This window comes from Homo sapiens, chromosome 1 (assembly GCF_000001405.40).
Source record: "Homo sapiens chromosome 1, GRCh38.p14 Primary Assembly".
Classification (NCBI taxonomy): Eukaryota; Metazoa; Chordata; class Mammalia; order Primates; family Hominidae; genus Homo; species Homo sapiens.
The window spans coordinates 97303452-97319104 of record NC_000001.11 but is presented as its reverse complement, the minus strand read 5'-3'; the positions used below and the strand labels follow the sequence as shown (position 1 = coordinate 97319104).

The 15653-nt window shown below is 36.1% G+C and overlaps 1 protein-coding gene and 1 long non-coding RNA gene across 7 annotated transcripts in view; one reads left to right on the top strand and one right to left on the bottom strand.

The window, feature by feature from the left end:
- The window catches only part of DPYD (dihydropyrimidine dehydrogenase), an 843317-nt gene that overhangs the window by 601955 nt on the left and 225709 nt on the right, over positions 1-15653 (top strand). For all 6 annotated transcript variants that reach the window (XM_047448077.1, XM_017000507.2, XM_005270562.3 and 3 more), the window contains 2 exons: positions 12808-12928; positions 13727-13846. In XM_047448077.1, coding sequence (XP_047304033.1) covers positions 12808-12928; positions 13727-13846 — 241 coding nt within the window. The remainder of the gene's footprint in view (positions 1-12807; positions 12929-13726; positions 13847-15653) is intronic.
- DPYD-AS1 (DPYD antisense RNA 1) overlaps positions 1-15653 on the bottom strand; it is a 227033-nt gene that overhangs the window by 3851 nt on the left and 207529 nt on the right. The window contains exons 3-4 of the long non-coding RNA NR_046590.1: positions 12796-12916; positions 10681-10715 (exon numbers count right to left, since the gene is read on the bottom strand). This is a non-coding gene — a long non-coding RNA (DPYD antisense RNA 1). The remainder of the gene's footprint in view (positions 1-10680; positions 10716-12795; positions 12917-15653) is intronic.

Below are 15653 nucleotides of genomic sequence, written 5' to 3'. Positions count from 1 at the left end.
GCTATAAATTTCCCTCTACACACTGCTTTGAATGCATCCCAGAGATTCTGGTATGTTGTGTCTTTGTTCTCGTTGGTTTCAAAGAACATCTTTATTTCTGCCTTCATTTCGTTATGTACCCAGTAGTCATTCAGGAGCAGGTTGTTCAGTTTCCATGTAGTTGAGCGGCTTTGAGTGAGATTCTTAATCCTGAGTTCTAGTTTGATTGCACTGTTGTCTGAGAGATAGTTTGTTATAATTTCTGTTCTTTTACATTTGCTGAGGAGTGCTTTACTTCCAACTATGTGGTCAATTTTGGAATAGGTGTGGTGTGGTGCTGAAAAAAATGTATATTCTGTTGATTTGGGGTGGAGAGTTCTGTAGATGTCTATTAGGTCCGCTTGGTGCAGAGCTGAGTTCAATTCCTGGGTATCCTTGTTGACTTTCTGTCTCGTTGATCTGTCTAATGTTGACAGTGGGGTGTTAAAGTGTCTCATTATTAATGTGTGGGAGTCTAAGTCTCTTTGTAGGTCACTCAGGACTTGCTTTATGAATCTGGGTGCTCCTGTATTGGTTGCATAAATATTTAGGATAGTTAGCTCCTCTTGTTGAATTGATCCCTTTACCATTATGTAATGGCCTTCTTTGTCCCTTTTGATCTTTGTTGGTTTACAATCTGTTTTATCAGAGACTAGGATTGCAACCCCTGCCTTTTTTTCTTTTCCATTTGCTTGGTAGATCTTCCTCCATCCTTTTATTTTGAGCCTATGTGTGTCTCTGCATGTGAGATGGGTTTCCTGAATACAGCACACTAATGGGTCTTGACTCTTTATCCAACTTGCCAGTCTGTGTCTTTTAATTGCAGAATTTAGTCCATTTATATTTAAAGTTAATATTGTTATGTGTGAATTTGATCCTGTCATTATGATGTTAGCTGGTGATTTTGCTCGTTAGTTGATGCAGTTTCTTCCTAGTCTCAATGGTCTTTACATTTTGGCATGATTTTGCAGCGGCTGGTACCAGTTGTTCCTTTCCATGTTTAGCGCTTCCTTCAGGAGCTCTTTTAGGGCAGGCCTGGTGGTGACAAAATCTCTCAGCATTTGCTTGTCTATAAAGTATTTTATTTCTCCTTCACTTATGAAGCTTAGTTTGGCTGGATATGAAATTCTGGGTTGAAAATTGAAATTCTTTAAAGAACTATACCAACTTGTTATGGATGAGTTCTCCTTAGTCGGAACCATTCATTGCCAAGGGATTGCAGTTTTTCTCTGATAGGTTATTTAAAATTGCCTCAATAGTAATTCTTTCTTGCTTGGATTTCATAACATTCCCAGGACAGAAGCGTGACTTCCCTAGACTCTCTTCATCCTAAATGTATCAGCATGGTGGGTGCTCCAGGGCAGAATGGTGCCCCACACTAGCTTCCTCCCTGTGTTGGTTAATCATTCACTTCAATATGGAATTATAAAAATACTGAGGTTTTATGCTTGTGGTTGTTTTCTAAGTCTAGCACTGAAATACATAAGCTAAGTGAATAGACCAGCAGATGTATAAAATATAAATTGTTATACTGTTTACACTAATGCTTTGCATTAAGAAAACAAATGCCAAGCTGCTTGAAGTCTGCAAAGAATAAAAACTCCTTATTATACATTTACATACACACTTGCCCTTATCCAAAATGAATCCATACATAGTAGGGCAAGCAGCTGCCTATATTTCATAACCCACTGAGGTCTTTTTAATGTGTTCTAAGCAATGATTAGGAAACCTGCTGGGGTTCATTTTGGCTCAGCTGGTCCACAATTTTGAACACCTACTGGTGGTATCAGGAAAATGTGTACATGACCTGTTTCTGCATATATTAAGATCTTCCAAATTATGCTGCATACCCTCATTAATAAGCAAACTATGGATGACACCCTTTTTGTATGGTAGATAAAACTAGCATTTTAATTTAAAGATAAATAATATCCCACACATAAAGAAAGTTCAAGCTCATTTTTTGGCCCAGTATAAAGGATTCAACAAAAGAATAAACTATTCTGAAATGCTTTAATGTAGAAGATTTGGAGGTGTCCTAATTACTGCGAAATATGGCCAATGTATGGCTCTCGAAGAGTTTTTTGTTTGCCTGTGAAGATAGGCCTATGGAACCTGTGTCAATCTTGGTTTTACAAAAAAAACATGATAAAATTAAAGACAAGGGAAATAGACCTGGGAATATACACCATAGGTAAAGAAAAACATTATAAGGCAGAAAGGAATGGCTGCCCCTAAGTGACAGACAAGTCATGGATCAATTTTGGGTGCAAGGTAGGCAACTTTAGGTCAATTCAGGCAGGCATAGAGGCTCAGAGGGATCCAATCCAGAAAGAAGTGAACAATGGATAAAGTCTAGAAATGTAGAGTACAGATAGCGGAAAGGGAGAACTAGACTTCAAACAAGCAGAATGGATTATGAAAGCTAAGGCAGACATTAGAATGGAGTACAGTTCAGAACAGAGGGCATTGGAGGCCCAACACACCTGGAAGAAGTTTCATCTGACCTCTCAATGAATGATATTTTATTTTATTTTATTTTATTTTATTTTATTTTATTTTATTTTATTGAGACAGAGTCTTGCTCTGTCTCCCAGGCTGGAATGCAGTGACGCAATCTCGGCTCACTGCAGCCTCCACCTCCTGGGTTTAAAGGATTCTCATTCCTCAGCCTCCTGAGTAGCTGGGATTACAGGTATGTGTTACCATGCCTGGTTTTTTGTTTTTTTGTTTTTTTTTTTCTTTTTTTTACTTTTACTAGAGACAAGGATTTGCCATGTGGGCCAGGGTGGTCTTGAACGCCTGACCTCAAGTGATCCACCCTCCTCAGTCTTCCAAAGTGCTGGGATTACAGGCATGAGCCAATGTGCCCAGCCTCTCAGTGATGTTTTAAAGGGTTTGTCATTGATTGCATCTGTAAGAGACAAAGAATTGGAATGAGTATTAGCATCTACACTGATTCCTCTGGCCATCCTCCCTTGATGGATAATTTTGTCTTGCGGACACAAAGGCATCATGTCCTTTATCCATGGGCATTTGCACAATTGCTTCCAGAGTCCCACATCACAATAGTGAGTTTGAGCAAGTTCTGAATCAAAAGATCAAGTAAGTGTCCAAACTCTTTAAGGATGTCTCTGAGTTGTCTTTTTGCAGAGGTCACTCAATCATTGTCTCCTACCATGTCCCTAAAAGCAGTCTTTTTCTAGGAAAAAAATTAGCCCTGCTTCCTGGTATTGGACCTTTTCTTTCCCCTGAGCATATATTGGCTATTGCTGGGTAGGTCACCAACAAGGCTTAACTGTATTCAGGACATTCCAAGAGACCTTGTTCTGTCAAGCCAAGGGTAGAACTAGAATTCAGAAGAAATTTGAGAGATTCGTTTGGATTCAGCGTAGCTTTCTTGAATTCCTCTCAGTAAGATATCCTGGGGTCACTTGGGCAAGTTTCTTTCTTCTTTGACTTTCCTAGAATATAGCGTAATCCTCTTACAGGGAGAATTCTTCATACAAGTAGAGAACTGTTGTGTCAGTTGAGTCCTCCAGGAATCAGACACAGAGAGGGAGTTAGGAGGGCCAAAGGTTTATTGGAGAGAAATGCTTGTGAAAGGAAAAAAGTGGAAGCAAAATTGGAAAAGGGGAGCCATTGGACCCTGATACAGACACAAGAAAAGTCTTTGCTAGCCCAGTAGGGAGCTTCAGGACAAAAAGTGCCTATTAGAGGAGTCCCACATTCACCGGAAATAGCTAGACCCTTGTACTACAGTTTTGCTATCATTCACTGGGGTCTCCCTGAAAGGAGCATGACCCCAGTTTAAAAGCGAGGCACACCTAAAGGAGGAAGCAGTTAGAGGCAGTCAGCTCACCACACTCCTGCAGCTGGGCCAGAGTCTGTTCCTGAAGGTAGATCCGAGTGGTTCATGTCTGTGTCTGTTGCAGTTGCCTGCTTCTGCATGTATTTTTCTTAGACGTTTTCAGAACTTAGTTACTTTAGCATATCTACTCATCAGTTCTCGTGAAAAGTTATGCGACTCCTCAACATTGCAGAAAGTTAACCCTTTAAATTGCAGAGCCCCCTCTACCATGCAGGGTCTGAGCCCTGCTTCCATTTCTTTGATGCAACATGGGATTCCTGGAATAGAGACAAGGTATTTACATATTAAAATAGCAACAGTGCTACAGTGCCCCTGAGAGGCTCAGTGTCTAGAATAGCACATGAAACTGTGGGCAGAAGGTGTTCATTGATCTGTTTATTTGGGCAGGTACCTCTCAAACTTCATTACCATGGCCAGGTGAGGCCGTGGATTTCCTGTTGGGATTAGCCGGCAGAAGCAAGATAATTCTATGAAATCTGAATCTGATTCCATAGGGACAAATTGTGGCAGAGGAGATCTGAAATTTGAACAGCTTTCAGGGCTGATCTCTACAATTAACACTGCCATTTGAGAGTAAAGAAGTGAGCTGGTGGAGAGGATCTGAGAGTCCTCACAGAGAATTAAAATAGTGCCTGAAAGAACGCTGGCAGTCAGGAATTAACTAAACAGTGAGTAGTGTATGGCAATTCTTGTCCATTTGTAAAAAAAAAAAAAAAAAAAAAGAAAGCTTTAGCGACTAAGTGGAATGGGGAGCATTGACACTAAGAATGTCAGAGGAATGGTACACTAGGGAAATTTTGTCTGAAAGGAAGAAAAAAACATCATTAAGTTATGTTCACCAGAAATGATATTTAAAGGAACAAAACAGGAATATAGTTCCCCTTAGCTGATAAAAATATGGACAGCATCTCCCTTCCCCTCAAGGTCCCAGGGACTAAAGACTGAGAGTTGAGGCAGGGTCAGGGTCAGAGGTACAAACTCTGGAAAAGCCCTCAATATATTAAAGGTTCAGACAGAAAGGATCATGGTCAGCCTGGGTCCTCAGGTGGGTTCTCGTGGACTTCTAGGCCACAGTAGGAGACAGTTCTCTCCAAGTATTTTAGCTCACTGATGGAGAGCATCAAAAGACTGTTTTCAAACTCAGTTGGCTCCTGGAGCAAGAGCTGCTAATATCCTGTATCTCCAGCTTATTTTGGCTCCATGGAAGAGGAGATGCAAATGTTTTGTGGTTCATGATGGAAAGCTGGTATGCAATTAGAAATTCTTCATTCTTTCATTCAACATGGTATTTATTGTCTTTCATGTACCAGGCTCTTTGCTAGGATAAAAGAGTAAAATACATCCCCTAAAAGACTAATAGTCTAGTAGAAAGAAATTGATTATGGAACAGAGAAGATGACTATAAAACACTGTGATAAATGCAGTAATAAAGAAACATTATAGGAGCACTAAAGAGGCAGTCATTTACTAATCCATCCTATGCTGAAGTGAGATGGAAGGATTTGTCATGGAGGGCTGCGTTGAAGGGTGTTATTCAAGGGACAAAAAATGAAGGGCATTCCAGGTAGAAAGAGAAAAATAAGAAAAAACTTGAAATGAGAAACAGAATAGAGAAGGCTATGTGCTTGGGGAGGAGAGGACACACAGGTGGGTCTATGTCATCTTCTATTTAAGGCACAAGGAAGTAGCCACACACACACACACACACACACACAGGCACACATGTACACATTCCAGGTATATACAGTTACAACATTTTATAATCACATTATGTGTTTGTTGTATGCATTTGTCTCCCCTAGATTGTAAAGTATTTTGCTTTATGTTTTTAAAGAACAGGGATAGCATATTACATATCTCTAAATCTGTATTATCCAATATAGTACCTAAAACAGTTATCTATTATGTTATCCTGGACCCAGTATACTGTACTCTCAATTTTCCTCCAAGTACATAGAAATAAGAAAGTCAGTGTCAATTTGTGTGGTGTAGGCTCTATCAATTCAACAATACTGTTGAATGCCTACTATGTGTCAGGTTCTGCGCTACATGCTCTGAAATAAGCTGAAATGATAGAACACTTTCAGGATGTCTTGTCTTTTGTGACACTTAATATCAGATGTCCATTTTATTGTGTGCCTGGTTTGCATTTCCTTGCAGACTCTAGTTTCATTCATCTTAGTGTTCAGCACGGAAAATTTGTAGTGCCTCATGGTCAATAAATATTTGCCAAAAGGGTAGAACCCACATTACCTACAATGCCACTTTCTTTCATTTTTCTATTTATATTTGAGTGCCTTTAGAATTATTTTTAGAATAATAGATGAAATTTATCTATATTAGAAATAATTTACCTATATTAGCATGAACACACTTAAGTATAGAGTTTGATGTGTTTTGGCAAATGTCTATACCCGATTATACCACATTCAAAATATGGAACGTTTCAGAGGTAATCACTGCTAACAGGTTACAGCATAAATGCATAGTCTGTTTTTCAGACCTCTATATAAATATATGTACATATTTATATTTTAAAAACAGGATTAGGCTATCTGTGTGTTATTCTGTGTCTTGCTTTTGTTCACTTAATATGTTTTGGATATCTTTCCATGTCAGTTTACAAAGATTTATTTTTAATGGCTGCATAGTATTTCATTGTATGGATTATAGTACTTTTCACAAATCTTCCCATATTGACATTTATTCTTTTTTTCCACTACTGCAAACAATGCTGTAGTGAATGGCAGACATCTTTGTACACATATTTTGAATGCATGTGGATTTAATTAGGCTAGGTATTTGGAATTGGAATTTAAAACTTATAAGATGAGCTTTACATTTTTATACATATTACCACATTGTTCTTAAAAAGGAGTTATTAATTTACTTTCCTATTGAGAGCCTATGAGAATGCCTGTTTCTTTGCAACCTCAGCAAAGAGGGATATTATCAGTCTTTACATTTTCGGCAAATCATGATAGGTGATCATGTTTATTCTTTTGTTTTTCTAATTACTAGCGAGATTCGATGTCTTTTCATATTTGCTGGTCATTTGTATATTTTCTTATTGTGGAATATAGACAACATACATGAAACATATATGTATGCATTTATAAACAGATACCTACACACACACATATATATTTTTTAACAACTCATAATGTGCACACCATGTGACCACCAGGTCAAGAAATAGAACATCTCCAACACCTCAAAAGCTCCCTATATGTCCCACCCTAACACAACCCTCTCTGTCCACTTTAACACCATCCCTACTCTTTGCTTTGCTTTTCTTCGTAGTTTTATCACCCATATATATGTCTCTAAAGACCATATTTACTTTCTATTTAAGGAATTTATATGAATCAAATTATATTGTATACTTTTGAGACTGGTTTCTTTTGCTAAGCCTTATGAGATTAATCCTTATCATTGTATATAGCTCTAGTGTGTTTATTCCATTGTATGACTATATTACCATTTATTTTTCATTTTACTCTTGATGGACAATTTGGATTTTTTCCACTTTGGGGCTATTTCAAACAGTGCTACTATGGATATTTTGAACATGTATTCTGGAGTTTGCATCTTTAAAAGGACATATACGTAAGAGTGGAACCTAGATCATGTGAAACTGTTTCCCAAAGACTCTTGTACTGATTTACATTCTCCCCAGGGTGTATTGACTTTCCCCCAACCCCCCAATCTGGTAGATAGATAATGGCATCACATTGTGGTTTAAATGAGCATTGTCCTTATATGGAAAAAATGTGAAAGGTGTTCATAAGGCTGATCACATTTCATAAATTTTTTGGCCATTTGGATTTCATCTTGAATGAAATCCAATGAAGTATGCTATGTTGAACGAAGTATGTTAAAGTTTTGCCCATTTTTCTCATTAATTTTCAGGTGGTCCTTTATATATTCTGGATACTACTCCTTTATGAATTGTGCTTCAGAATCTTGTCCCACTTTGTGCCTTGTCTTTTCACAATGTTTTTAAATATATTAACATTTTAATTTTAATATCTTCAAATATATCAATAGTTTTCCTTTAAAGAAAATGGAACATTTCCATTACCCTCAAAAATTTTCTTATACTTATTTCCACTTAATTGCTCCTCCAGCCTAATTCTCAGTCTCAGCAACCACTGCTCTGCTTTCCATACTCATGGTTTTTCCTCTTACAGAATTTTAATAAATGTATGCATATAATGTCTACTTCTGTAACTTAGCATCATTTTGTTTTATTAATTCCAAGTTGTGGCATGATTCATTAGTTTCTTTTTGTTGTTGAATCATATTTCATTGCGTGGATATGCAGCAATTTTGTTTATTCAACTCACATATTGATGAATATTGGCATTATGTCAAATTTGGGCCTATTTTGAAAAAGTTTCTGTGAGTATTCATGTGCAAGTTTTAATGTAGAAATATGTTTCCATCTCACTTGTATATATAATTAAGAGTTGAATTTCTGGGTTAATTAGTAAGTCCATGTCTACCTTTTTAGGAAACTGCACAACTAATTTCCAAAGTGGTTGGACCACCTTTAGAATACTTAAGTCAGAAAAACAGATGCAAGAAGGACACATGCTAAAAAATAGTTAATAAAAACATCTCCATTTCAACACATAGTCTTTGCATTCACTAATATTATAATTGTGCCTGGAACAGTTGACTGCCTGTCCTGTTTTATTGACATAGAAGGATAATACATCACGTTTGCTCATTATGTTGCAGCTACTTCTAGTCTTACAGGAATAAGTGAAGTAGAAGCCTTCGATAGTTCTAGTTTACAATTGATGGCTGAATTTCACTTCAGGGAGCAATTTTGCTAAAGAAGATGAAGGTTTAGGACATGATAATGGGAAAGAAAATTAAGAAGGTGAAATTGGTACTCAGATTGATCTTCTGGGCCCCAGTTCTTTCCATCAGAAACATGGATGTAATGAAAATTCTAGCCACCTCTTGGCATGTCATATGAATTAAGACTTAAGAGTTGCTTAGTGAAAAACATTTTATAACTGGTAAAATTTTGCAGTGGATTTATTGAAATGCCAGATTCTAAGAAAGCCATTTTGAAATGAATTGTACAGAGTGAAAATTACTAGGTAAATGGGAGAGAAATGTTTCTTCAAGTCAAAATTTCACTTGTAATTTAGCTTATCAGGAAATTCTCAGTCTCATTCTGTAGTGCTTATTCCTTTGCAGAGGACATGAAACCAGTGAGATTTGATGCCCTAAGTAATTGGTAGAAATACCTGCTCTACAATGAAGAGGTCATCTTCAGGGTCTCAAAAGCAGCAGGATGGGTCATTTATAGAACTCCCTTAATGTGTAACTAAATACAGAGTAGTTACTAGAATTAAAAATTATTATCTTGTGTCCCAGATTAGAAATTAAGCTTTAAAAACAACCAGTTTTGCATAATGGACATTACTGCAGCAAGTAATCTGCATTCCTCAGCATTACCTTTTCTAGTTGTGTTGTCACCGTTGTTTGATTTTCATAGGAATCTATTCCCGATAAGATTAGTTGCAGGCAGACACTGGGCTGTACCTCATCAAAATTTTCAAATAGGCCAAATTTGCCTCTAGCTTGCTTTTATCAAAACTCTTCTCAGCACTTCACAAGTCTGCTCTGGTACCTTCACTTTATGTAGTATCCTCAAGACCACCATTTGCTCCCTAGATCTGTCACTCATTCTCTTAGGGGCTTCAAGTGTCTTTCTGCTTATAATGCCATGCACCTCTGTCACAGGAAATCATTTTGTTGCTTCAGAGCTTTCTTTGGTGATCACATTGAATAGCAAAAGGGTTAACAGGTATTGAAGAACATGCTCACACACACACACACACACACACACACACACACAAGACAAGCAACTACTGTGACAGAGATTGCAAATCATGTTCAGGGAGAAGCATTAATGCCTTTAGAAAGCACCAATAAAGCCTTTGTGATCTACGTAGACGTTTTTGTGTATTAGACATTTTTAAGATTTTGTTAAGCTATTCTGTTTTTCTTAATTATCCATCACTTTTTCACAGAATTACCAGTGATTTGTAAAGTAGTCTTCCTACATTTCATGCTTTTGGACATTGTCATAAAATATAGCTGGGTTTTTCTTAAATCTAGACATAGTTTATATTTTGATGGATATATAAGGAAATAATGTGAAAATATGCCAAGTTGCCAAGTTTTCACTCATTTCTCATTCATTGACACAACATATATTTTTTAGTGCCCAGAAATAGAGCAGTCAATAATTGTTTTTTGTTTTCCTTCTTCCTCTTCTTCTTCTCCTTGTATGTATTGGTAATGGTAAACTCTTGATTTGTCTGAGAGATAAGAGTACTTTTGTATATTTCAGATCCTGAAGATTTTGGGAAGAATTAGAAATTGTCTAAAACTTATTTATTTCAATAAGATTCTAAAAACTGGCTTGTTACAAAAGGCAAAGCCATCTCATGCTATCACTAGAAAATGAGAAGGTCAAGATGTAGAAACACTACTAATTGCTTTTAGATCTTGAACATTCATATCAAAATTTTGAAGAAACCAGGAAAATATAAATAGTTACAGTCTATTCGTGAATTCCCTGAAGTATATAGATTCATTTCATGATGTTATTGACCTCACCACATTTCTAGTTGTATTAGAATATTCTCTATTATACCTGTCAAACAAAACATTGCAATTTACAGAACAATCATTAATTTTTATGGTAATTTTGGTTAGAAGTTGTTTTTAAAATTCTCAGGTAGCCAAACTGTACTTACCCTTGGCTGTGATGATTAGTCAGCAGCTGGCTTGCCTAAGTATGAAGATGAGAAAAATATATGTGAACACCGTCAACTTTACTCATGGAGGGTCAAATTTACTCATGGAGGGTCAAATTATGGTATCTCAAAATAGAGACAGATGATTCAAGTAAACAGTGCTAACCAAAAAAAACCATGTGTTTCTAAGAATTTGAAAAACTTTGAACAAATTCCAGATCATTAAGCAATGGGTAAGAGGCAGTCATTTAAAGCAGTCACCTAGTGAAAATCAGGAAAAATGTCTGACAGATGTTCAGAGTAAATTATTATGGCATGGGGGTCAATAGTATTGAAAGCCACTTGGAAGCCTATATCAGATTATTAGTGTTTACTCTATTGGAACCAAATAATATTTCAAATTTGTTTCAGTAATTCTTATCAGGACACATTCCATGTATTATGCCATTCAAGTGATCTTTAAATTATTGTCAAAGTCTACCTTAAAGAGAGCTTCCACAAAGGACATGCAATTCATATCATCTAGAGTTACTGTCATTTCTAGGCTAAGTCCCATGGAAATTCATAACTTAGAAATGAAAGTCACAAAGATGCAACTGCCTTCATAATACCAATGCAGTGGTTATAAATATTTCATGAGCATTGCATGGGCAGGGGCAGATCTCCATTTTCATGAGTTAGAATTTGTACAGCTAAGTCTCCACATTTTACTATTCATAATGCACACTATGCCCTGTAGAGCATTCCATATAGCACTTTTTTAATATTTATGTTTAATGAAGAAATTACTGTTCTAAAAAGAGAATAAGCCAAGCCAAAGACTTCTTTTTAAAAGTATTAAGTTTTGCTTAATAGAGATGATAACAATCAACAGAAATTACCTCATTGCAGTATCTTAGCACAAAAATGCATAACTTTTTGAGTAATACAGGATGATGGATCAAGACACATTAAACCTAAGTGAGAAGGTTCTTTCTAAAGGTTATAACATTACAAATCTCATCTTAAAGGAATTCGAAAGGTTAAAATGCAAAGAGCAACTTTCTTACATACAAAAACATTAATTACAAATGATATGCTTGCCTGCTATTTCATAGTTTAAATATATGACTGTATTTCTCTGGGTTTTTCTTTTATTCAAAAACATTTTAACTTGCTAAGATAATATTACCAAGTTCGATAATGAATTGCTATTGCATACTTTAAGGTAATTTATCAAAGCACATTATCAGTACCTGTCAGAATAAATTTTGCACTAAAAGTAATGAAAAAAAGGACTATTGTATGTGTTGAAATCAAAGAACATTACTGTACTGTAGCTAAGTTATTCAATGGAGAGGATAGGTGTTTGCCCTCTAAATGATACTTGCCCCATGAGAAAATAAGAGCCTGGAAAATCACAGAAAATAGGCACATGGAAATGTCTATTTCTTGCTTTTTAAAATGAGCATTTGATATTTTATTTCATTTTTGTCATTTTGATCAATTCTGTCAAGTTTGTGAGTGCTGAAAATGCTGCACAGATCTTGGTAACATTTACAAAAGTAAATTAAAGTTACTGATCAGCTCATGTATAATACAAGGCTGAATTATTCCATATTTGCATATACTATATATCACATGTAGATTGATGATGAAGTCATAGATTTTATTTTGAATACACATCAAGACTAAGTCTAATAATGAAAACAAGCTTTAGATTTAATATCATTCACTTGAGTCAGCAGTTTTAAATATTTTTTATTTTGCTTAAACCAATGAGATCACTAGAAATTTTGTAATGTTTCTTGTACTTAACATCAAAAGTTTGTGTTTCATTCCTGATAATATTTAACTGAAAGTGGGAAACACTGTCTTCCATTTTGTTCTTTGAAATTTTATTTTCTAAAGGCTCTGTTGAGGAATTTAACCTTTATGTGATGAATTTGCAGTTCACTTGAAGTGTGTTAACCTTAGTTCCCTAATGAGTCTAGGTGTAATACTGAGGAGGAATTTGAGAAATATATCATGTAGCTCATTGTCAAGTTGGATTTGTCTTGCACGTCTCCAGCTTTGCTGTTGTTCCAGTACACATTTTGATCACAATTCTTTAATTTTGTTCTATATTTAACCGACCTATTTGAACAGGATCCAGAGCTGGTGCGGAACATCTGCCGCTGGGTTAGGCAAGCTGTTCAGATTCCTTTTTTTGCCAAGCTGACCCCAAATGTCACTGATATTGTGAGCATCGCAAGAGCTGCAAAGGAAGGTAAGAACTTGACTTGAATCAGTTGCCCGCTATTGTAAATATTGGCCCACATTATGTAGCCATACTCAAGTATGTCTTTTCCTACAAACATGTGCATATTTTTTGTCTCAATTTTAAAAGTTTCCAGTTGAGCACTTGATCCCACAAACACAGGAGATTTACACCTGGACTCATGCTAGCAAATTGACCATGAATTTTGATCTGGAAACACAAGATCCTTTATAGTTTTTCCTAATAAACACTTATTTCACACATTATAAGAACAAAAAACACAGTCACAGCAAACCCGTCCAAAATAAATGACCTCATAATGTAACAATTCAATATATTAAACTTTAATGAGTAAAAAAGAAAAAAAGAAAATTCAATTTGCACAATGTGAAATTTCTTATGAGTTCTCTTCATATTTTGTAGGGCCTAGCTGACTTCCTTAAACACATGCTCAATAAATATCTGTTGAATACAAAAATCATGCGTGCTTGTGTTCCATCCCAGGGAAATTGCACCCTGACTTGCAAAGACATTGTAAATTACCTGGAAAATAACACCAAATACAAAACATTTGGTAACAACAAGTCTGTATAATATTTGAGAAAGTAAAGTTGTGGTAATTAAAACTTCTTTAATGTTTAAAATTTTAAACATAAATGTAGGAGTTAAATTAGTGAAGAACTTTGAGGAGAAGACATGTTCTCAAGATAAAATAGAATGCATTTTTCTGGGATGTGAGGGTTTGAATGGGTTTTAACTATCGTGTCTTATAAGAGCTGCATGAAAATGTTGATGTGTCTTGCATAGGTGGTGCCAATGGCGTTACAGCCACCAACACTGTCTCAGGTCTGATGGGATTAAAATCTGATGGCACACCTTGGCCAGCAGTGGGGATTGCAAAGCGAACTACATATGGAGGAGTGTCTGGTAGGTGTTGCCCACTTCTTGCATTGTGCTTTCTTGGAGGTTGCTGAAAAATCAGAAGGTCATGTTGCAAGAGTTTTGTGCCCTTTATGATCCCAAATTCTTATAACTCATAGCTGATCAATATTCCTAATAGTTATGACAGAACGGATTGAATATGAAAGCTCAAGTGACAGCACAGGATGAGAGAATATCAAGATAAGGTCTTGCACAAATTCTATTCTCTTGTGGTCCATGCTTTCCTAAGAATTTCTCATCGTCTCTCAGTTCTTTTGCCACTTACTAGTAAGGGTTAATATGAGGGCCCTCTGAGAGAAAAATATAAGTACCCTCATTATAATATCTTTTTCATGGTCTGGACTAGTTTTCATTCTTCCTAGAATTTAGACATCTACCTTCTTCAAAAACCTTGTCCCAACTGTCCCAAACAAGCCATTAAAACACTGAATTAAGCATCAGCTGACAAGACATTTGCAGACCTCACACCTTTGCACGCTCTTTCTCATCAGCATACGCTTGAATTTGAAAAAGAAAGAGAGGTTTTAATCTCAAGGTCCTGTTCAGTATCTTTACCCTGTGCACTCTGTGACTGTGACAACATGAACTTGGTCTTGCAAAGACAATGCTGTAAGGTTCTTGACTGTACTGGTTTGGGATTAGTCTCCTTGGTGATAGAGAAAGTGGTAAATATACATAACATAACAGTGCCCCACTGTTCAAGAAAAGCATTGCTGAATCAGACCAAAATGTGCTTTTGGAAGAGGCTGGACAGACACAAATAAAGCTCTATCCATGCTGAGGTATTCAGTTTTGAGAGTATGAAGTATGCCTGTGAGCCATGAAGAACAAAAACGGTTATATTCTGCTTTTAATTGAATGCCATTCCCACAATGTCAGAAAGAAGAAGGCTGACGAGGAGCACCTGCTCAGGCTCCAGACACAGCTCGCTTTTATCAGGAGCTATCAAACAGGGCCTTAAATATTATTGTAATGCAGAATAACGTGGACCGCGTTAGCATGTGCCACAGAAAGAGAGTCAAGAGACTCCAGAGTTGGGCTGTAACATGCACTATGTTTTCTGTCAGCCCATTTCAATTTTTCCAGCCTGCCATGTTGACAGCAAGAGAATAAAGGAGGTCACAGAGGGTGCTGAACATTAAAAATTAATAAAAGAACTATTGCAGTAGTATTTTATATAAGTAACACCATTCATGTTTTCTCATTTAAGCTGCAATGTCTGAATATTCTCCCATACTATAACTCAGTCTAATAAAACTACAAAATTACAGCATTAGAAAAAGTCTTTTGTGTTGCAGTCTTTAAGCATACACACACTGGAAATTATAGCAGTACCTGAAAACAAGCTCAGTCATACCTCAGGGCCTGTTAGCATTTCCATAAAACTCTATTTCTAAGATTTATAAATTCATATATAAATATTCACTTGGGCTATAAGCTTAGGTAAGCCTGGGTAGAACTTTCATTTTAAACAACAAAAAATCCCTAACATTTTAAAGGACTTGTACCTCATTTCTAATAGGTTCTATATTAAGTTTCTTCACATTAAACAATCTGTTTTGAAAATAGCCTTTCTCCACATTGACAGAATTAATATAGTTTTCCTCCTTTAAAGTAATGCTTGCTTAAGTTTAAAAGTAATAGAATCTGAAAAGCAGTTTAAATAGGCAATGATAATATATTTTAGGACAGAGCAAGTTCTATAACAGAGTACCTTCAGTATGAGTTATAGCAAAACTTAGCCTAGCAAAATTGTGTTAAATAATAATGGTTTCAAATTTTACGAGAGTTG